Genomic DNA, 24,005 nt, shown 5'->3' with positions numbered 1-24,005 from the left:
TTACTAACATTTTGGGCCAGATCATTATTGTCATAGGAGGGTGGTGAGCAGTTATATTCATTGCAGGATGTTTAGCAGAATTCCTGGCTTCTATCCATTAGATGGAAGTAGCGCATGCATGCGCGCGCACACACACACACACACACACACACACACACAAGCACACCAGTTGTGAAAACCAAAAATGCCTCAAGACACTGCCAAATATCCCCCATGTAGGTGATTGAGGAGAGGAGGGAAAATTGTCCCTGGTTAACAACTGCTGCTCTAAACTTAATTTATATTCATAAAATTGTCTGTTTCTGAAGCAAAAATTGATCTTTTAAATTTATTTTTAGATGGACACGTTTATTTCGACTTCTACGACTTATCATTCTGATAAGAGTTTTTCATCTGGCTCATCTAAAAAGACAACTTGGAAAGCTGATAAGAAGGCTGGTAAGTGGGCAAAACATGCTTACGATTCAGAAAAATATTTTGTGTTTTGGGACCCATTGGCAAGGGTTGATATCTATACTGTATAATGTTCTTTATTTTTATGTTGATTTATGTTTCACCAACTAATAATGGTTTTAAACTCTCAGGTTTCAGGAAACAAAAGGTGATACGAAAGTGATGGATTTGACCTAGACCTCACTTATATTACAGGTTTGTGACACTTAACTGTTGATTTACTTACATTAACTTCACTTTTTCTTGTAATTATATTTTTATTTTGTTTTTGCCTCATCTAAGCCACATTCATTCAAAGTATTCTTTATTCGTGAGGCTATATGCTATGCCATTGTGATAGTGTGACATATTTGTGGTTTAGCCCTGGCAAGGAAGATTTCCATGTCATCTCAATTCAGGACTACTCGGTTGCAGCACAAAAACTTGAATGGATTTTCAGCTGACTCCATTTGAGTTTCAGTTTATTAAGTTCTAGTAGTTATCCTGAATCCCAAGGATCCCAGAGAGACCGCTTCTCTTCCTAGAACCCCAGAGAATGAGGTCACAGCTTTGTAGATCTCAGGTGTTCTGAGTCAGAGGGCTACAAAGCACGTTGGGAGTTCCCACCATCACTGGTGCCCAGAACTCTTGGATTTTCTTTGGTATTTAAGATAAGAAATAAATTCCAAGAACAGGGGGAACTTCAGACTGAGGCCAACATAAGTACATGGCATATGGTTTGAACCAGTGGAGTGTTAAGAACACCATGCCAGCTTAATGGTCATTATGTTGGATAATTTAATATGTTATCTTGATTACCCTGAGTATTAGCTCTTTTCTGTCAACCTCAATCTTAAAAGGTATTTTTCTGTGAAAATGGAGTCTGATCATATAAAATTAACTTTTGTATGTTATTTTAAATCTATAATAATGTTTGTAATAGTGATGATTTTGACTTCCAGAACATATTGTCGCTATGTCGTTTCCATCTTCGGGAGGCCAGTCTTTCTATCGGAATCCAATTAAGGTAAGGGTGTTTATCTTAAAAATACTAATTTCTCAGTGAATGTAGACTGTGTAGTCATAAGTTTAATATTGACCCAGAAATGTCAATGTTCTTTCCAAAAGGTACTCTTTCAAGTAAAACAATCATAATGGATTGATACCAGTTACAATTGTACCAGTGGTTACAAACCACCCCCAAACTTACTGGCTTATAACAGCAACTATTTATTTGGCTCATGATACTATGGTTTGTGAATTTGAGATGGGCTTAACTGTTCAATTCTGTGCTCACAGAGAGGATTGCCTCTCTCAACTGGGTTCATTCATGCATCTGTGGGCAGCTACTGAGTCATCTGAGGACTGGCTAGTCTAAAATGACTTGGCTGTCCTCAGCTGACAGAGCCACTGCGTGCTCCATGCACCCCTCAAGGCCCATCCCATCTGGCATCCACTGCTGCCAACAGCTCCACCCCCTTGACCAGCAGAGCTGCCATATGCTGCATGCACTTCTAAGACCCTGAGGACTGGCCTGCCGGGTGCCCACCCTGCTGGTGGCGCCACCCCACCACTAGCAAAGCCACTGCACCTAGCATGCATACCTCTAGGGCCTTGGAACGAATCCGACTGATGGCTCCCACCCCAAGAAAAGCCATACCACTGTCTCCACAAACACTCACCATCTAGGCCACTGAGGCACTCAGAGACACCTCTAAATGCTGATTACAGCCAAAGAAGTCACATGAAGACTGTATTACCGCACCCACCTAGAACCAAAGTCAAATCGCCCTACTCCATAATGAACACTAGGAGACAACTATTGGAAAAAATATTTCTCTGTGAAAGCTCCATAACATTGGAAGAGGCACCTGTTCCACCAGATGTGCAAAAATCAATTCAGGGCCACAAGAAACATAAAAAGCAAGGAAACATTACATCCTCAAAGAAACACAATAATCCCCCATTAACAGACCCTAAATTTTAAGAGTATATCAAATGGCTAAGAAGGAATTTGAAATAAGGATCTTGAGGAAACTCTGTGAGATACAAGAGAATACAGATAGACAAATCAATGAAATTAGAAAAACAATTTATCATCTTATGAGAAATTCAACAAAGATATAGATGTCATTAAAAACCAAACAGAGATCTTGGAGCTGAAGAATTTAAGGAATAAAATAAAAAATAATCAAGAGACCAGATGCAGTAGGTCACTCCTGTTATCCCAGCACTTTGGGAGGCCAAGGCAGGTGGATCACTTGAGGCCAGGAGTTCAAGACAAGAGTGATTAACATGGCAAAATCCCATATCTAAAAAAACACAAAATTTAGTCAGGTGTGGTGGTGCATGCCTGCAATCCCAGCTACTTGGGAGGCTGAGGCACGAGAATAGCTTGAACCCAGGAGGTGGAGGTTGCAGTGAGCTGAGATCATGCCACTGCACTCCAACCTGGTTGACAGGGAGGGACCCTGTCTCAAAAAAAAACTATATATATATATATATATATATATATATATATATATATATATATATAATCAAGAGCTTTAAAAACAGACATGGGAGACATATGGGTGAAATCTCAGAAGCTCAAAGGTTCTCAAATAGAATCAACTCAAGATGGTCTTCTCTGAGGTGCATGATAGTCACACTTTCAAATGTCAAAAAGAGGGAATATTGGTCAGGTGCAGTGGCTCACACCTGTAATCCCAGGACTTTGGGAGGCTGAGGTGGGTGGATCACAAGGCCAGGAGTTCAAGACCAGCCTGGCCAACATGAAGAAACCCCATCTCTACTAATAATACAAAAAAAACTTAGCTAGGTGTGGTGGCGTGCACCTGTAGTTCTAGCTACTTGGGAGGCTGAATCATGAGATATGCTTAAACCCAGGAGGTGGAGGTTGCAGTGAGCTGAGATCACACCATTGCACTTCAACCTGGGTAACAGAGTGGGAGTGTCTGAAAAAAAAAAAAAAAGAAATATTAAAAACAGCAAGAAAAAAGCATCAAATCACATGTAAGGGAAACTCCTTTAGGTTAACAGTGGATTTTCCAGTGGAAACTTTACAGGTCAGTAGACAATGGGATGTTACAGTCAAAGTACTGAAAGGAAAAAAATACAAAAAAACTATAAACTAAGAATACTATACCCAGCAGAGCTATCCTCTAGAAATGAGGGAGAAATAAAGTATTTCCCAGACAAGCAAAACCTGAGGGAGTTCATCACCAGTAGACTGGCCTTACAAGGAATGCTTAAGGGGGATTCTACAAATGAAAGCAAGAGGATGGCTACCATCATGAAAAACACCAAACTATAAAACTCACTGGTAGAGCAGATACATAAGAAAGAGAGAGAAATCAAACTTTATCTCTACAGAGATCCACCAAACCACAAAGATTAGAAAAAAAAAAAAAAAACAGAGGAAGAAAAGCACAAAGGATATACAAAACAACCAAAAAAAAAAAAAAAAAGAATAAAATGACAGGATAAATCCTCATCTATTAATAGTAACCTTGAATGTAAACAGATCAAATTCCCAATTAAAAGATATAGAGTTGGTTGCCAAGATAAACAAACAAACAAAAAACCCAACTACATACTGCCTATAAGAAACTAACTTCACTTGTAAAGGTACACGCAGACTGAAAGTGAAGGGATAGAAAAAGATACTCCAGGCAAACAGAAACCAAGAGAGGGCAGGAGTAGCCATACTTATATCAGATAAAACAGACTTTAAGTCAAACTGCATGAGGAGACAAAGACAGATATTTTATAATTATGAAAGGATCAACTTAGCAATAGGATATAATAATTGCAGACATATATGTACCCAACACTAGAGCACTCAGATAAACAAGGCAAATATTAGATCTAAAGGGAAAGACAGACTCCAATCTAGTAACAGTTGGGGTCTTTAACACCCCGTAACACCCTACTCGTAGCACTGGACAGATCATCTAGTCAGAAAATCAACAAAGAAATGTCAGATTTCAGCTTACAGAGAGGAATAAGTTTTAGTATTCTATAGCACTGGAGGGTGACTACAGTTAACAATTTATTGTATATTTTTAAAAAGAAAGGCTCTTGAGTGTTCCCACCACAAAGAATGATAAATATTTGAGGTGATGGACATGCTGATTATCCTGATTTGATCATTGCACATTGTACACAGGTATTGAGATATCACCCTCTACCTTATAAATATGAACAACTATTATGTGTCAGTTCAAATTGTTTTAAAGAATAAAAAAACAGTTTTTTTTAAATCAAAGTAAAGAAAATAACATGACTTGGCTGAATGGTCCCATGTGGTCTCTCATTCTCTAGTAGGCTACTTCAGGCCTGTTCACATGATGGCAGTGGCAGGAGTACCACGAGCAGCAAGCAAAACAATGTAAATCCTTTTAAGGCCCAGGCTCAAAATTAGTATAATATTACTTCTACCCGATTTTATTGGACAATGCAAATTATACTACGATTCTGAATCTGAATCCAGATTCAGAGTAGAACATAGACTCCAACTCCTGTTGGAAGGAATTGTAAATAATCATGGCTGCTGTTTTTTTTTTTTTTTTTTTTTGAGACGGAATCTCACTCTGTTGCCCAGGCTGGAGTGCAGTGGCGCAATCTCGGCTCACTGCAAGCTCTGCTTCCTGGGTTCACGCCATTCTCCTGCCTCAGCCTCCCGAGTAGCTGGGACTACAGGCGCCCGCCACCACGCCTGACTAATTTTTTTTTTTTTTTTAATAGAGATGGGGTTTCACCATGTTAGCCAGGATGGTCTCGATCTCCTGACCTTGTGGACCACCCGCCTTGGCCTCCCAAAGTGCTAGGATTACAGGCTTGAGTCACCGTGCCTGGCCGAGATCCTCAATTATAGTGGCAGCATACTGCTTTAGGCTCCATGGATGACTAAACTAATTTCAAACATATAATGCTGTTTACTGTGAAATGCCAACTGAAAGTCATTGTTTAATTTTATGTAATTTACAATACTTACTATACCTCAATAAAACTATAATTATTAAGGGCTGGCATCGGTTGCTGAGAGGTGGAAGGAGTACCTCTCTGCAGCGTGTTAGCTCAGGTTCAAACAGGACAGGGCCTCAAGTTCAGCAGCTTTTCAGAAAATGGCCTGGATCCCCAGCCTGAATCATCATCCCATGGCTGGAGAATGTGGACAGGTTATTTAATTAAGAAACTAATGATGAGGAGGAGCCAAGATGGCCGAATAGGAACAGCTCCGGTCTACAGCTCCCAGCGTGAGCGACGCAGAAGACGGGTGATTTCTGCATTTCCATCTGAGGTACCGGGTTCATCTCACTAGGGAGTGCCAGACAGTGGGCGCAGGCCAGTGTGTGCGCGCACCGTGCGCGAGCCGAAGCAGGGCGAGGCATTGCCTCACCTGGGAAGCGCAAGGGTCAGGGAGTTCCCTTTCCGAGTCAAAGAAAGGGGTGACGGACGCACCTGGAAAATCGGGTCACTCCCACCCGAATATTGCGCTTTTCAGACCGGCTTAAACAACGGCGCACCAGGAGACTATATCCCACACCGGGCTCAGAGGGTCCTACGCCCACGGAATCTCGCTGATTGCTAGCACAGCAGTCTGAGATCAAACTGCAAGGCGGCAACGAGGCTGGGGGAGGGGCGCCCGCCATTGCCCAGGCTTGCTTAGGTAAACAAAGCAACAGGGAAGCTCGAACTGGGTGGAGCCCACCACAGCTCAAGGAGGCCTGCCTGCCTCTGTAGGCTCCACCTCTGGGGGCAGGGCACAGACAAACAAAAAGACAGCAGTAACCTCTGCAGACTTAAGTGTCCCTGTCTGACAGCTTTGAAGAGAGCAGTGGTTCTCCCAGCACGCAGCTGGAGATTTGAGAACGGGCAGACTGCCTCCTCAATTGGGTCCCTGACCCCCGAGCAGCCTAACTGGGAGGCACCCCCCAGCAGGGGCACACTGACACCTCACACGGCAGGGTATTCCAACAGACCTGCAGCTAAGGGTCCTGTCTGTTAGAAGGAAAACTAACAACCAGAAAGGACATCTACACCGAAAACCCATCTGTACATCACCATCATCAAAGACCAAAAGTAGATAAAACCACAAAGATGGGGAAAAAACAGAACAGAAAAACTGGAAACTCTAAAACGCAGAGCGCCTCTCCTCCTCCAAAGGAATGCAGTTCATCACCAGCAATGGAACAAAGCTGGATGGAGAATGATTTTGACGAGCTGAGAGAAGAAGGCTTCAGACGATCAAATTACTCTGAGCTACGGGAGGACATTCAAACCAAAGGCAAAGAAGTTGAAAACTTTGAAAAAAATTTAGAAGAATGTATAACTAGAATAACCAATACAGAGAAGTGCTTAAAGGAGCTGATGGAGCTAAAAACCAAGGCTCGAGAACTACGTGAAGAATGCAGAAGCCTCAGGAGCCGATGCGATCAACTGGAAGAAAGGGTATCAGCAATGGAAGATGAAATGAATGAAATGAAGTGAGAAGGGAAGTTTAGAGAAAAAAGAATAAAAAGAAATGAGCAAAGCCTCCAAGAAATATGGGACTATGTGAAAAGACCAAATCTACGTCTGATTGGTGTACCTGAAAGTGATGTGGAGAATGGAACCAAGTTGGAAAACACTCTGCAGGATATTATCCAGGAGAACTTCCCCAATCTAGCAAGGCAGGCCAACGTTCAGATTCAGGAAATACAGAGAACGCCACAAAGATACTCCTCGAGAAGAGCAACTCCAAGACACATAATTGTCAGATTCACCAAAGTTGAAATGAAGGAAAAAATGTTAAGGGCAGCCAGAGAGAAAGGTCGGGTTACCCTCAAAGGAAAGCCCATCAGACTAACAGCGGATCTCTCGGCAGAAACCCTACAAGCCAGAAGAGAGTGGGGGCCAATATTCAACATTCTTAAAGAAAAGAATTTTCAACCCAGAATTTCATATCCAGCCAAACTAAGCTTCATAAGTGAAGGAGAAATAAAATACTTTATAGACAAGCAAATGCTGAGAGATTTTGTCAACACCAGGCCTGCCCTAAAAGAGCTCCTGAAGGAAGCGCTAAACATGGAAAGGAACAACCGGTACCAGCCGCTGCAAAATCATGCCAAAATGTAAAGACCATCGAGACTAGGAAGAAACTGCATCAACTAATGAGCAAAATCACCAGCTAACATCATAATGACAGGATCAAATTCACACATAACAATATTAACTTTAAATATAAATGGACTAAATTCTGCAATTAAAAGACACAGACTGGCAAGTTGGATAAAGAGTCAAGACACATCAGTGTGCTGTATTCAGGAAACCCATCTCACGTGCAGAGACACACATAAGCTCAAAATAAAAGGATGGAGAAAGATCTACCAAGCCAATGGAAAACAAAAAAAGGCAGGGGTTGCAATCCTAGTCTCTGATAAAACAGACTTTAAACCAACAAAGATCAAAAGAGACAAATAAGGCCATTACATAATGGTAAAGGGATCAATTCAACAAGAAGAGCTAACTATCCTAAATATTTATGCACCCAATACAGGAGCACCCAGATTCATAAAGCAAGTCCTGAGTGACCTACAAAGAGACTTAGACTCCCACACATTAATAATGGGAGACTTTAACACCCCACTGTCAACATTAGACAGATCAACGAGACAGAAAGTCAACAAGAATACCCAGGAATTGAACCCAGCTCTGCACCAAGCGGACCTAATAGACATCTACAGAACTCTCCACCCCAAATCAACAGAATATACATTTTTTTCAGCACCACACCACACCTATTCCAAAATTGACCACATACTTGGAAGTAAAGCTCTCCTCAGCAAATGTAAAAGAACAGAAATTATAACAAACTATCTCTCAGACCACAGTGCAATCAAACTAGAACTCAGGATTAAGAATCTCACTCAAAGCCGCTCAACTACATGGAAACTGAACAACCTGCTCCTGAATGACTACTGGGTACATAACGAAATGAAGGCAGAAATAAAGATGTTCTTTGAAACCAACGAGAACAAAGACACCACATACCAGAATCTCTGGGACGCATTCAAAGCAGTGTGTAGAGGGAAATTTATAGCACTAAATGCCTACAAGAGAAAGCAGGAAAGATCCAAAATTGACACCCTAACATCACAATTAAAAGAACTAGAAAAGCAAGAGCAAACACATTCAAAAGCTAGCAGAAGGCAAGAAATAACTAAAATCAGAGCAGAACTGAAGGAAATAGAGACACAAAAAACCCTTCAAAAAATCAATGAATCCAGGAGCTGGTTTTTTGAAAAGATCAACAAAATTGATAGACCGCTAGCAAGACTAATAAAGAAAAAAAGAGAGAAGAATCAAATAGACACAATAAAAAATGATAAAGGGGATATCACCACCGATCCCACAGAAATACAAACTACCATCAGAGAATACTACAAACACCTCTACGCAAATAAATTAGAAAATCTAGAAGACATGGATACATTCCTCGACACATACACTCTCCCAAGACTAAACCAGGAAGAAGTTGAATCTCTGAATAGACCAATAACAGGCTCTGAAATTGTGGCAATAATCAATAGTTTACCAACCAAAAAGAGTCCAGGACCAGATGGATTCACAGCCGAATTCTGCCAGAGGTACAAGGAGGAACTGGTACCATTCCTTCTGAAACTATTCCAATCAATAGAAAAAGAGGGAATCCTCCCTAACTCATTTTATGAGGCCAGCATCATTCTGATACCAAAGCCGGGCAGAGACACAACCAAAAAAGAGAATTTTAGACCAATATCCTTGATGAACATTGATGCAAAAATCCTCAATAAAATACTGGCAAACCGAATCCAGCAGCACATCAAAAAGCTTATCCACCATGATCAAGTGGGCTTCATCCCTGGGATGCAAGGCTGGTTCAATATACGCAAATCAATAAATGTAATCCAGCATATAAACAGAGCCAAAGACAAAAACCACATGATTATCTCAATAGATGCAGAAAAAGCCTTTGACAAAATTCAACAACCCTTCATGCTAAAAACTCTCAATAAATTAGGTATTGATGGGACGTATTTCAAAATAATAAGAGCTATCTATGACAAACCCACAGCCAATATCATACTGAATGGGCAAAAACTGGAAGCATTCCCTTTGAAAACTGGCACAAGACAGGGATGCCCTCTCTCACCACTCCTATTCAACATAGTGTTGGAAGTTCTGGCCAGGGCAATCAGGCAGGAGAAGGAAATAAAGGGTATTCAATTAGGAAAAGAGGAAGTCAAATTGTCCCTGTTTGCAGACGACATGATTGTTTATCTAGAAAACCCCACCGTCTCAGCCCAAAATCTCCTTAAGCTGATAAGCAACTTCAGCAAAGTCTCAGGATACAAAATCAATGTACAAAAATCACAAGCATTCTTATACACCAACAACAGACAGAGAGCCAAATCATGAGTGAACTCCCATTCACATTTGCTTCAAAGAGAATAAAATACCTAGGAATCCAACTTACAAGGGATGTGAAGGACCTCTTCAAGGAGAACTACAAACCACTGCTCAAGGAAATAAAAGAGGACACAAACAAATGGAAGAACATTCCATGCTCATGGGTAGGAAGAATCAATATCGTGAAAATGGCCATACTGCCCAAGGTAATTTACAGATTCAATGCCATCCCCATCAAGCTACCAATGACTTTCTTCACAGAATTGGAAAAAACTACTTTAAAGTTCATATGGAACCAAAAAAGAGCACGCATCGCCAAGTCAATCCTAAGCCAAAAGAACAAAGCTGGAGGCATCACACTACCTGACTTCAAACTATACTACAAGGCTACAGTAACCAAAACAGCATGGTACTGGTACCAAAACAGAGATATAGATCAATGGAACAGAACAGAGCCCTCAGAAATAATGCCGCATATCTACAACTATCTGATCTTTGACAAACTTGAGAAAAACAAGCAATGGGGAAAGGATTCCCTATTTAATAAATGGTGCTGGGAAAACTGGCTAGCCATATGTAGAAAGCTGAAACTGTATCCCTTCCTTACACCTTATACAAAAATCAATTCAAGGTGGATTAAAGATTTAAACGTTAGACCTAAAACCATTAAAACCCTAGAAGAAAACCTAGGCATTACCATTCAGGACATAGGCATGGGCAAGGACTTCATGTCCAAAACACCAAAAGCAATGGCAACAAAAGCCAAAATTGACAAATGGGATCTAATTAAACTAAAGAGCTTCTGCACAGCAAAAGAAACTACCATCAGAGTGAACAGGCAACCTACAACATGGGAGAAAATATTCGCAACCTACTCATCTGACAAAGGGCTAATATCCAGAATCTACAATGAACTCAAACAAATTTACAAGAAAAAAACAAACAACCCCATCAAAAAGTGGGCGAAGGACATGAACAGACATTTCTCAAAAGAAGACATTTATGCAGCCAAAAAACACATGAAAAAATGCTCATCATCACTGGCCATCAGAGAAATGCAAATCAAAACCACTATGAGATATCATCTCACACCAGTTAGAATGGCAATCATTAAAAAGTCAGGAAACAACAGGTGCTGGAGAGGATGTGGAGAAATAGGAACACTTTTACACTGTTGGTGGGACTGTAAACTAGTTCAACCATTGTGGAAGTCAGTGTGGCGATTCCTCAGGGATCTACAACTAGAAATACCATTTGACCCAGCCATCCCATTACTGGGTATATACCCAAATGACTATAAATCATGCTGCTATAAAGACACATGCACACGTATGTTTATTGTGGCATTATTCACAATAGCAAAGACTTGGAACCAACCCAAATGTCCAACAATGATAGACTGGATTAAGAAAATGTGGCACATATACACCATGGAATACTATGCAGCCATAAAAAATGATGAGTTCATGTCCTTTGTAGGGACATGGATGAAATTGGAAACCATCATTCTCAGTAAACTATCGCAAGAACAAAAAACCAAACACCGCATATTCTCACTCATAGGTGGGAATTGAACAATGAGATCACAAGGACACAGGAAGGGGAATATCACACTCTGGGGACTGTGGTGGGGTCGGGGGAGGGGGGAGGGATAGCAGTGGGAGATATACCTAATGATAGATGACACGTTGGTGGGTGCAGCGCACCAGCATGGCACATGTATACATATGTAACTAACCTGCACAATGTGCACATGTACCCTAAAACTTAAAGTATAAAAAAAAAAAAAAAAAAAAACTAACGATAAACCAAGGGCTATGGGAATTAAGAACTATGGCTAAAAAAGAAATGTTTAGAGTGATGCAAAATGGCCGATTAAAAGCAGCTGCACTCCCCAGCACTCAAGGAGAGGAATGAAAAGGGGCAGGTGAATTCAGCACCTTCAACTGAGATACCCAGGTTCTCCCATTGGGACTGACTGGAAGAACAGCTCGCCCCATGGAGAATGAAGAAAAGTGGAGAGAGGGTGTGATGGCCCAGCCGAGAGCAGCGTGGAGCCAAAGGAACCCCCACTCCCAGCCAAGGGAAGCAGTGAGTGATTGTCCAATCGTGCTCAGGAAACAGTGCTTCTCCTATTGATCTTTGCAACCCATGGATCAGGGGATCCCCTTGTAAGCCCATGCCACCAGGGCCTTGTGTCTGATACACAGAGCTGTGGAGTCTCAGCAGATCAGCTGCTCAGGCACACACAGAAACCCAGACGTTTTACGTACTCTGGCCCCGAGAACCTCAGCAAGGTGGGAAATCTGTCCATACATATTTTGGAAAGGGGCTGAATCCAGGGAGCCAAGCAGTGTCATTCTGTGGGCTCCATTTCCACGGTACCTCACAAGTTAAGACCCATTGGCTTGGAATCCTAGCCAACCAAGAGCAACAGGTTGGATTCCACCTCAGATGGGTCTGAGTTCCCCGGGAGGTGGAGAGGGGCAGCCAGCATCACTGTAGTTTGTAGACTCAGCCACTCCTGCCTGCCAGCTATGGAAAATACAGGTGGTCAGGAGGAGGAAGTGTTCCCTGCAACGCAGCACACCTGGTCTACCAAAAAGCAGCGAGACTGCTTCTTTGGATGGGTCCCTGATCCCATGTCTCCTGACTGGGTAAGAACTCCCCCATGGGGGTCTCCAGCCACTTCCTACAGGTGTATGTAGACTTGCTACAGGTCAGTATCCCCCTGGGATGGAGCTTCCAAAGGAAGGAGCTGGCTGCCATCTTTGCTATTTCACAGCCTTCATTGGTAATACCTCCAGGTAGACGGGAGAAAGTCAGGCGACTGGGGTCTTGAATGGACCACCAGCAAATTGCAGAAGCACTACAGTAGAGTGGCCTGTTAAAGGAAAAACAAACACAGAGAAAACAACAACTGCTCAAAGAAATCAGAGAAGACACACACAAAAAATGGAAAAACATCCCGTGCTCATGGATGGGAAGAATCAATATCATGAAAATGGCCATATTGCCCAAAGCAATTTATGGATGCAATGCTATTCCCATTAAACTGCTATTGAAATTCTTCACAGAATTAAAAAAAAACTATCTTAAAATTCATATAGAACAATAAAAGAGCCCAAATACCCAAGACAATCCCAAGCAAAAAGAACAAAGCAGGAGGCATCCCGCTACCCGACTTCAAACTATACTATACTACAGGGCTACAGTAACCAAAACAGCATGGCACTAGTACAAGAACAGATGTATAGACCAATGGAACAGAATAGAAAACTCAGAAATAAGACCTCACACCAACAACCATTTGATCTTTAACAAACTTGACAAAAACAAGCAATGGGAAAAGGACTCCCTATTTAATAAATGGTGCTGGAGTGCTGGCTAGCCATATATAGAAAATTGAAACTGGACTTCTTCCTTACACCATATCCAAAAATTAACTCTAGATGGATTAAAAACTTAAATGTAAATCCCCAAAGTATAAAAACTCTAGAAGAAAATCTAGGCCATACCATTCAGAAAATAGGCATGGGCAAAGATTTCATGATCGAAATGCTAAAAGCAATTGCAACAAATGCAAAAATTGACAAATGGGATGTAATTAAACTAAAGAGCTACAGAATGGGAGAAAATTTGTACAATCTATCCGCCCGACAAAGGTCTGATATTCAGATTCTACGAGGAACTTAATGAAATTTACAAGAAAAAAACACACAACCCTGTTAAAAAGTGGGCAAAGGACATGAACAGACACTTCTCAAAAGAAGACATACATGCAGTCAACAAAAATACGAAAAAAAAAAGCTCAACATCACCGACCACTAAAGAAATGCAAACAAAACCACAATGAGATACCACCTCACGCCAGTCAGAATGGCTATTATTAAAAAGTCCAAAAATAACATGCTGGCAAGGTTGCAGAGAAAAAGGAATGCTTTTTACACGGTTAGTGGGTGTGTAAATTAGTTCAACCATGTAGAAGAGGGTGTGGCAATTCCTCAAAGACGTAGAGGCAGAAATAGCATTTGACCCAGCAATCCCATTACCAAGTATAGACCCAAAGGAATATAAATCACTGTCTTACAAAGATACATGCACGTGCATGTTCACTGCAGCAGTATTCACAATAGCAAAGACATGCAATCAACTTAAATGCCCATCAATGATAGATCAGATAAAGAAAACGTGGTACATAAACACCATGGAATACTGTGCAGCCATAAAAATGAAGAAGATAACATCCTTTGCAGAGACATGGATGGAACTGGAAGCTGTTATCCTCAGCAAACTAACACAGGAGCTGAAAACCAAACACTGCATGTTCTCACTCATAAATGGGAGCTGAATAATGAGAACACATGGACACATGGTGGGGAACAGTGCACACTGGGGCCTGTCAGGAAGGAGGGGTTGGGAGAGGGAGAGCCTCAGGAAGAATAGCTAATGGATGCTGGGCTTAATACATAGGGATGAGATGTCTGTGTAGCAAACCACCATGGCACAGGTTTACCTATGTAACAAACCTGCATATCCTGCACATGTACCCCTGAACCTAAAATAAATAATCACATTTTATTGAGGTATAACATAGATGGTAAGTTGCACTAATCAAGTGTATATCTTGATGATATTACACATAAGTATATATGCATGTAACCAACACCTCTGTCAATGTATTGGTGTATGACTGATCTCCGATTAATTGTTGTAAAGATATAAAATATCAAGATTAATGTTTTTCATATAGCTATCAATGCTTCCTGTACCACTTACTGTGAAGAGCATAACTTCCCCAATGAATTGTAGAGGTGTGTTTATTGCAAATCAAGTGAACATATATGTATAGGTTTGTTTCTCAGCTTTTTCTCCTTTTATTATGACTTAATGACTTGTCTATACTTAAGTCCAGACCACAGTTTTAAATATTATGGCTTTATAGTGAGTTTTGAAAACTTGTTTATAAGTCCCCCAACTTTGTACTTCTTTGTTTAAAAACTATCTTGGCTCTTCTAGATTTTTTGAATTTCCATATACATTTTAGAATCTTCTTGGCAATTTACACACACACACACACACACACACACACACACACACACAACCTGCTAGTATTTTGACTTGGGCATTCACTACATTGCTTAATTTAGGGAGAACTGACATGTAAAAATATTGAGATTTCCAACTCAAGAACATAATATATCTCTCTACTTATGTCTTCTTTGACTTCTTTTTGCAATGTTTGCAGTGTACAGGTTTTACACATCTTTTTTTTTTTTTTTGAGATGGAGTCTTGTTCTGTCGCCCAGGCTTTAGTGCAGTGGCGCAATCTCCGCTCACTGCAAGCTCTGCCTCCTGAGTTTGTGCCATTCTCTTGCCTCAACCTCCAGAGTAGCTGGGACTACAGGCACCTGCCACCACGCCCAGCTAATTTTTTTGTATTTTTAGTAGAGACGGGGTTTCATGTGTTAGCCAGGATGGTCTCGATCTCCTGACCTCATGATCCGCCCACCTCAGCCTCCCAAAGTGCTGGGATTACAGGCGTGAGCCACCACGCCCACCCTACACATCTTTTGTTAGTTTTATTTCTAGGCATTCGATAAGTTTTTATGCTGTTTTAAGTAATATTTGAATATCTTCATTTTCTGATTATTTGCTATTGGTATATAGGAACATAATTAATTTTTGTATATTGACTTTAGTTTTGTTTTTAAATTTTAAGTTCTGGGAGACATGTGCTGAACGTGTAGGTTTGTTACATAGGTATACGTGTGCCATGGTGGTTTGCAGCAGCTGTCAGCCCATCATCTAGGTTTTAAGTTCTGCATGCATTAGGTATTTGTCCTAATGCTCTCTTTCCCCTTTCCCCCAACCCCCGACAGGCCTCTTTCCCCTCCCTGTGTCCATTCTCATTATTCAGCTCCCACTTATGAGTGAGAACATGCGGTATTTGGTTTTCTGTTCCTGTGTTAGTTTGCTGAGGATGATGGTTTCAGCTTCATCCATGTCCCTGCAAAGGGCATGAACTCATTCCTTTTTATGGCTGCACAGTATTCCATGGTGTATGTATGTGCTACATTTTCTTTATCCAGTCTATCATTGATGGGCATTTGGGTTGGTTCCAAGTCTTTGCTATTGTAAATAGTGCTGCAATGAACATATGTGTGCATGTGTCTTAATAGTAGAATGATTTATAATCCTTTGGGTATATACCCAGTAATGGGATGGCTGGGTCAAATGGTATTTCTGGTTCTAGATCCTTGAGGAATCGCCACACTGTCTTCCACAATGGTTAAACTAATTTACACTCCTGCCAGCGTGTAAAAGTGTTGCTATTTCTCCACATCCTCTCCAGCATCTGTTGTTTCCAGACTTTTTAATAATCGCCATTCTAACTGACATGAAATGGTATCTCACTGTGGTTTTGATTTGCATTTCTCTAATGACCAGTAATGATGAGCTTTTTTTTGTATGTTTGTTGGCTGCATAAATGTCTTCTTTTGAGAAGTGTCTGTTCATGTCCTTCACCCACTTTTTGATGGGGTTGTTTTCTTCTTGTAATTTGTTTCAGTTATTTGTAGATTTTGGATATTAGCCCTTTGTCAGATGGGTAGATTGCAAAAATTTTCTCCCATTCTGTAGGTTGCCTGTTCACTCTGATGATAGTTTCTTTTGCTGGGCAGAAGCTCTTTAGTTGAATTAGATTCCATTTGTCAATTTTGGCTGTCGTTGCAATTGCTTTTGGTGTTTTAGTCATGAAGTCTTTGCCCATGCCTATGTCCTTCATGGTATTGCCTACATTTTCTTCTAGGGTTTTTATAGTTTTAGGTTTTATGTTTACATCTTTAATCCATCTTGAGTTAATTTTTGTATAAGGTGTAAGGAAGCGGTCCAGTTTCTGTTTTCTGCATATGGCTAGCCAGTTTCCCCAGCACCATTGATTAAATAGGGAATCCTTTCCCCATTGCTTGTTTTTGTCAGGTTTGTCGAAGATCAGATGGTTGTAGATGTGTAGTGTTATTTCTGAGGTCTCTGTTCTGTTCCATTGGTCTATATATCTGTTTTGGCACTAGTACCACACTGTTTTGGTTACTGTAGCCTTGTAGTATAGTTTGAAGTCAGGTAGTGTGATGCCTCCAGCTTTGTTCTTTTTGTTTAGGATTGTCTTGGCTATACGAGCTCTTTTTGGTTCCATATGAAATTTAAAGTAGTTTTTTTTAGTTCTGTGACAAAAGTCAATGGTAGCTTGATGGGAATAGCATTGAATCTATGAATTACTTTGGGCAGTATAGCCATTTTCACAATATTGATTCTTCCTATCCATGAGCATGGAATGTTTTAGTATTTGTTTGTTTGTTTTAGACAGGGCCTTGCTCTGTCACCGCAGGCTGGAGTGCAGTGGCACCTGGGCTCATGCAATTCACCCACCTCTGTCTCCCGTGTAGCTGGGACTACAAGCAGGCACCACCACACTTGGCTAATTTTTTTTAACTTAATTTTTGTAGACAGGGAGTCTCACTGGTCTCACTGGCCCAGGCTGGTCTCAAACTCCTGGGTTCAAGCAGTCTTCCCACCTGAGCCTCCCAAAGTGCTGGTATTACAGGTGTGAGCCACCACACTTGGCCTTGTATATTAGCTTTATATCTAGCATCCTTCATAAATTCACACATTCATTTTAATAATTAATGTGTAGATTCCCTGGGATTTTATGTATACAATCATAAAGTTACTACTTTCTTCCCAGTTTTTGTACTTTTTTCTTTCCTTATTGAATTATCTAGGACTTTCACTGTAATATTGAATAGAAATGGTAAGAGGAGGCAGCCTTGCCTTATTCCCAAACTCAGGTGGAAGGAATTTTATACTTCACTATTTGAAACGATGTTTGCTATAGGCTTCTGTAGTCATTCTTTACCAGATTCAGACAATCCATTTTATTTCTAGTTTGCTAAAAGTTTTCAATCATGAATTGGTGTTGAGTAGACTGGATATTTTTTCTGCATCTATCAAGGTAATCAAAATGTTTTTGTGTTTTTCCATTAATGAGATTTTCAAATGTTAAGCCAACCTTTTTTATTTTTGGAATAAACTCCCTTTGGTCTTAATGTATTATCGTTTTATATATCACTAGATTCTGTTTGCTAATATTTTATTTAGAACTTTTCATCTATGTGCATGAGTGATATGAAATTTTCTTTCCTTGAAATGTCTTTATCTGTTGGTCTACATTTACCTTAGCTTTGGTGTCTTGGATAACTCCTATCTGCTAAACTCATCTTCATCCTCCATCAGGATGAATATGATGGATATGTTTCAGGGTAATGGCAAAAGGAAAGAGCTAGAGTGGAATCTTACAAGTGCTTTTGCAAGGCTCTCCTTTGTGACATCCCATTGACCAAATCAACTCACATAATAGAGCCCAAATTTAGAGTGAAAGGGCACTACAAGGTGAAATGTGAGGGCCGGGATTCAGGAAAAGATGAAGAATTGGGACCACTGATGGAATCTTTCTACCTTATTCTCAGGCAGGGAAGCATTTTTATACATGCAGATAGTTTACAAGAAATAACTAATATATAGTCAGAAACTCAAGGCTTCAGCAGTTGTATAAAAATGCATTTGTAAATACCCAAAGACCTTGAAGAGAAGGATCTGACCCACATCTCACCCAGGTTATACTACTCCCAGCTAAGACATGATTCGACCACACCCTTGGCCAATTTTGAAAATTGTTTCAAACTATTTATTTGAGGTGGAATTACTTTTCTTCTCCCATAATGGGAACAGTCATGGAGCAATGTGACCAGGGTCCATTGGATGGGTCATACCACTTGAGGGCAGCGATCCCCAAATTCCCAATTCCATCTTTATGGGTAAAGCATCTCTTGATTGCTAATATTGTTTTTTAAAGCTGGTTGAGCTAATAACTGTGAGTTAATTATGGCATGTCTAAACTGAGCCAATTTTCTTTTAGTAGTTTTGGTGGTGCCTAATATCAGTTTGGGAAGACTTAATATTAGCTGGGGTGTTTTTAACAGCCAAAAACCTCACTTAGCATATAAATCAAAACAAAGACATTACTATTTCCTTGTGGGGTGATGGCTAGACTATTGATTTCTATCCGTTATTAAACTGTTATCTCCTTAGGGCATTGACAAAAGTACTAATAAGTCACTGATTTCTTTACCATTTTTAATCAGAGTATCCAGAAAGGAGGTAATAAATCATGTGTTTTAATAAATGCCACAAATCATGAGCCACCCAAAAAGTAAATCTACTGTCCATATTAATATTTAGTCTTTCATCTTTGCCAGAGCGCAGCCCCAAATCTAAGCTACTAGTTCAGCTACCTGGACAGGCCGAGAATTAGGCCATGGAGCACTTCAGTCATTGCATGTTCAATGACAACAGCATATTCTGCACTTGGAGTGCCTTTGTCATTTTTGAGAACCATCCACGATGTATATTAAATCAAGGTTGACTCAAAGGTACATGATTCAAATCCGGGTATACTTAACTTCTGAGAGGATGCTAAACAGTCATGTGATTCCTCTTTATTCTTATAAGAGAATAAATTTGCAGGGTTACATTTTGAACAACACTGAATATGCAAAGCAGACCTTACAATTTCCTAAGTGGTAAATTTACTAGTGGAGAAATGTCAGATGCTGCCTTGAAGTAGCAAAAACTTTAGAGATGTTGGACCCATAGAGTTAGTGGACAAACAAGCACTGTGGTGGAAGCATCAAGAAGTTTGGCCACTGCTACCACCTCATGCAGGTACAGAGGGTGTACCTTTGCTTCCAAATGAAGGAATGTACTAAGATAGGCAGAGAGAAGAGTTGAGCAGATTTAGGAAAACCGAAGGTGGAGGTTGTTGCAAGAAGGCTTTCACAGGAAGGGGAATATCACACTCTGGGGACTGTGGTGGGGTGGGGGGAGGGGGGAGGGATAGCATTGGGAGATATACCTAATGCTAGATGACGAGTTAGTGGGTGCAGCGCACCAGCATGGCACATGTATACATATGTAACTAACCTGCACAATGTGCACATGTACCCTAAAACTTAAAGTATAAAAAAAAAAAAAAAAAAAGAAATATGGAAAATAAGAAAAAAAAAAAAGAAGGCTTTCACAGAGTAGCATTTTCTACTTTTGCATCACAAGGAAGTTGCATCAGAAAGTATAAACTTAGTAAGCGCATGCAAAGGCTGAGCTATGAGAAAAATCAGATATACAATTACCTACAGTCCTAAAATCTTCTTAGCCATCTTTTGATTTCTGTTCTTGGTAGAATTGAATGCTCTTTATTCTGGTTGAAAACAGAAACTGTCCATCTGGTGACAGCTTGTGACCAGAAAAATGTAGATTCTTGGCAGAGTTCACCTTTTCTCTAGGTTCTTTATGTCCCTTTTCACCTACTTTGAATAAGAGGTATTTGGATCCTTTAGTAAACTACTTAGATCAGGAAACACAGCAGTAAATCATCAATATATTGAGTCTATATATATATATATATATATATATATATATATATATAATTATAAAAAGTATATATACACATATAATTATAAAAAGTATATATAAACATATAATTATAAAAAGTATATACACACACATATATATACATATACATATATGTATATATATATAATTTTTTAGACATTGAGAGAACTAGGAAGGGGATTCAGAGAATCCCTAAAGTTTAACCCTCCAGTATATTTGTCTTCCCAGGAAAAAGCAAATATTGCCTGTTTTTCTTTTCTTTTTTTTTTTTTTTTGAGTTGGAGTCTTGCTGTGTCACCCAGGCTAGAGTGCGGTGACGCAATCTCGGCTCACTGCAACCTCCACCTCCGGGCTTCAAGCGATACTCCCGCCTCAGCCTCCCAAGTAGCTGGGATTACAGGCACCCACCACCATGCCTGGCTAATTTTTGTATTTTTAGTAGAGACGGGGTTTCACCATCTTGCCCAGGCTGGTCTTGAACTCCTGACCTCGTGATCCACCTGCCTCGGCCTCCCAAAGTGCTGGGATTACAGACATGAGCCACCACGCCCGGCCAACTGTTTTCCTATATATGTACGCTAAAGAAGCCTGCACATAAATTACTGCAGTGAGATATTTACTGGTTGAGAGAATGAAGAACAGGACAGTATTCTAATGGTTGCATGATATTTCATTAGTGCTATGATGAACCTCTAATGTTGGACATGTAAGTGTCACTATTATCAATAATACAACAACAAATATCTTTGGGCGTAAGGCTTTTTCTGTACAGATTGTTAGGAGTGAAATTACCTAGTTGAAGAGAATGAATATTTTTAGGGTTCTTAATATATATTGCCAAATCCAAGAGCAATTGTATTACTGTATCAAAATAAATCAAAGTTTTTAATGTCATGCCTTATTTTGCCAGCATTGGATTTTCTCATTAAAAGGAAAAGGGCTAATTTCATGGGCGCAAATGTCATGTCACTGTTGTTTTGACTTCTTTATTGGCGACACTGAATATTATGTAGGTTGTTAATCAGTTTGATTTTCTCTTTTATGGATTGTTTATGTCCTTGGCCCATTTATCTATAAGATGAGGGAGTAATATTTAAGTTGTTGTTAATGAATTATTAATTTATTATCCTAGGCATAGTCCCCAACAGTGCATTTTTCTGAAAAAATATTTTCCCCTGTTGTTCATTATAGCATTTTTCAACAGAAATTTCAGAATTTTATGAAGTTAAACCTAAGGCTATAGATCTTCCATTGATTCAACACTTTTAGTTCTTCCTCATTCAAAGAATTAAAATTCACTTAAATTTCTCATAGATGTTTGTAGTTTTTAATATGTGTTTTCTAAATGTATATGGATTTTAGGTAAGAAATTTCATGAATTCTAAAGTATATGAAATGTTTTATCCTTCCTCTCTGCCACTATGCAGATTCGGAGTGTTCATCTTTTTGACGTATTATTTCCTCCTAACATAGATAACCAATTTAATAAATGGATGACTTTGATACCTTAATGTTAGTGTTCTCCATATTAAGCCAGTAAACATTGTTCTGACAGTACCATACTAATCAGTTTTTGAAATTGTGTCATTTTTGTTGTTGCACAGAGATATATACATATGTGTGTATGTTTCAGAAAGAGATATTTCCTGAAAAAATTGTTGGATTTGTATAGTGATATTAATTATATTTCAGATAATTACTATTTTTCATTGAAAAGGTATATATATATACACACACACACACACACTTACCGGTATATATATATCTTCATTAAAAAATTAAGAGAACAGGTGAGCCAAAAAAGTTTCCATATTGTTACGAGTTATTTATAAATTGATATAATATGTTTATCTTTTTCTGTCATGCATACACACACAATCATAGTGTATACTTTTTGCATTTATTTGTTTACATAGTGCTTAGGTAGAATGTAATATTCAAATCACTATCTAAAAGACATACCTAATCAGAATTAAATTTAAATAAGAAGCAATATGAATTAGATTTAAATAAGAACCACATTAACTGTGAATTATGATTTGGAACAAATTTACTTAAAGTTAGTTAACCATCTAATTTACTTTTCTGATAGCTTTAAACAGTGTGTATTTACAATAGAGGCTAATCTGAGTAGTCAAACACGCTTTGTGGACTATTTGAAAAACCACAGTGGATTAGAACTTGAAATTGGCATACGCTTGTATTCCCTGAGTCTCCCCTAGAAGATGCTAGTGAGAGACAAAGTAATAGAAAGTAATAACCATTTTAGGTTCCTCGTGGAAATGGCTTATGTTGGTGCCATGTGACTATGGAAAATATGTGTTTCTCTTTTTTAGGAAGTCATACAGTTTCTAGACAAAGAAACATCCAAACCACTATCGAGTCTACAATCTATGCAGTATGTACCTTACTCTGTATTTTGCTACTGTAGATAGAAAACAGATTACTGAATGTAAGAAGATGATTTTGTTTTTTACATTGCATTTAATCATAAGTATTTGGTGGTGGTGAGGAAGGAATTTAAAAATCCCTGTCTTGGACTGGCCCCATTTGGTAGAAGGAGTTAGCCCAGGAGCACAAAGTACCCTATGAAGGAGGCAGCTCTGGCAGGACCAATGAGGCTAGAGTGAAGGCAAACCATTTTAGGGAAGATCTGTTCTAGTGATATTAGGTTTAGGAACATCTGTCTGTTTTTCCTGCCAGATTGTGTTATGAGGACATAGACAATTTAACAGATGAGTCCTCTGACCCATTAGCAGTGGGTTGTGATGAGAGCAGGGCCCTAGGTGGGAAAAAAGCAAACTCTTTAGAAAATAGGTTACAACCCAGCTTATCACTCTGTCTTGATTTTTTTCTCTACCTGTATACTCAATAGACAGGGGGCAGTCATCAAGGATGTTCATCAAGGATATTGGTCTAAAATTCTCTTTTTTGCTTGTGTCTCTGCCCGGCTTTGGTATCAGGATGATGCTGGCCTCATAAAATGAGGTAGGGAGGATTCCCTCTTTTTCTATTGATTGGAATAGTTTCAGAAGGAATGGTACCAGTTCCTCCTTGTACCTCTGGCAGAATTCGGATGTGAATCCATCTGGTCCTGGACTCTTTTTAGTTGGTAAGCTATTGATTATTGCCACAATTTCAGCTCCTGTTATTGGTCTATTCAGAGATTCAACTTCTTCCTGGTTTAGTCTTGGGAGAGTGTATGTGTCGAGGAATTTATCCATGTCTTCTAGATTTTCTAGTTTATTTGCATAGAGGTGTTTGTAGTATTCTCTGATGGTAGTTTGTATTTCTGTGGGATCGGTGGTGATGTCCCCTTTATCATTTTTTATTGCATCTATTTGATTCTTCTCTCTTTTTTTCTTTATTAGTCTTGCTAGCGGTCTATCAATTTTGTTGATCCTTTCAAAAAACCAGCTCCTGGATTCATTAATTTTTTGAAGGGTTTTTTGTGTCTCTATTTCCTTCAGTTCTGCTCTGATTTTAGTTATTTCTTGCCTTCTGCTAGCTTTTGAATGTGTTTGCTCTTGCTTTTCTAGTTCTTTTAATTGTGATGTTAGGGTGTCAATTTTGGATCTTTCCTGCTTTCTCTTGTGGGCATTTAGTGCTATAAATTTCCGTCTACACACTGC

The 24,005-nt window shown here is 39.6% G+C and overlaps 1 pseudogene across 1 annotated transcript in view; it reads left to right on the top strand.

Annotated features, from left to right (window-relative positions):
- The window catches only part of TPTE2P2 (TPTE2 pseudogene 2), a 104,605-nt pseudogene that overhangs the window by 42,036 nt on the left and 38,564 nt on the right, over positions 1 to 24,005 (top strand). Inside the window, exons 11-14 of the transcript XR_007063808.1 lie at positions 339 to 438; positions 585 to 648; positions 1,395 to 1,459; positions 22,710 to 22,771. The product of XR_007063808.1 is annotated as a TPTE2 pseudogene 2 (transcript). The remainder of the gene's footprint in view (positions 1 to 338; positions 439 to 584; positions 649 to 1,394; positions 1,460 to 22,709; positions 22,772 to 24,005) is intronic.

This window comes from Homo sapiens, chromosome 13, assembly GCF_000001405.40.
Source record: "Homo sapiens chromosome 13, GRCh38.p14 Primary Assembly".
Lineage (NCBI taxonomy): Eukaryota > Metazoa > Chordata > Mammalia > Primates > Hominidae > Homo > Homo sapiens.
The sequence above is the reverse complement of the archived record's forward strand: the minus strand, read 5'-3'. Positions and strand labels throughout refer to the sequence as shown.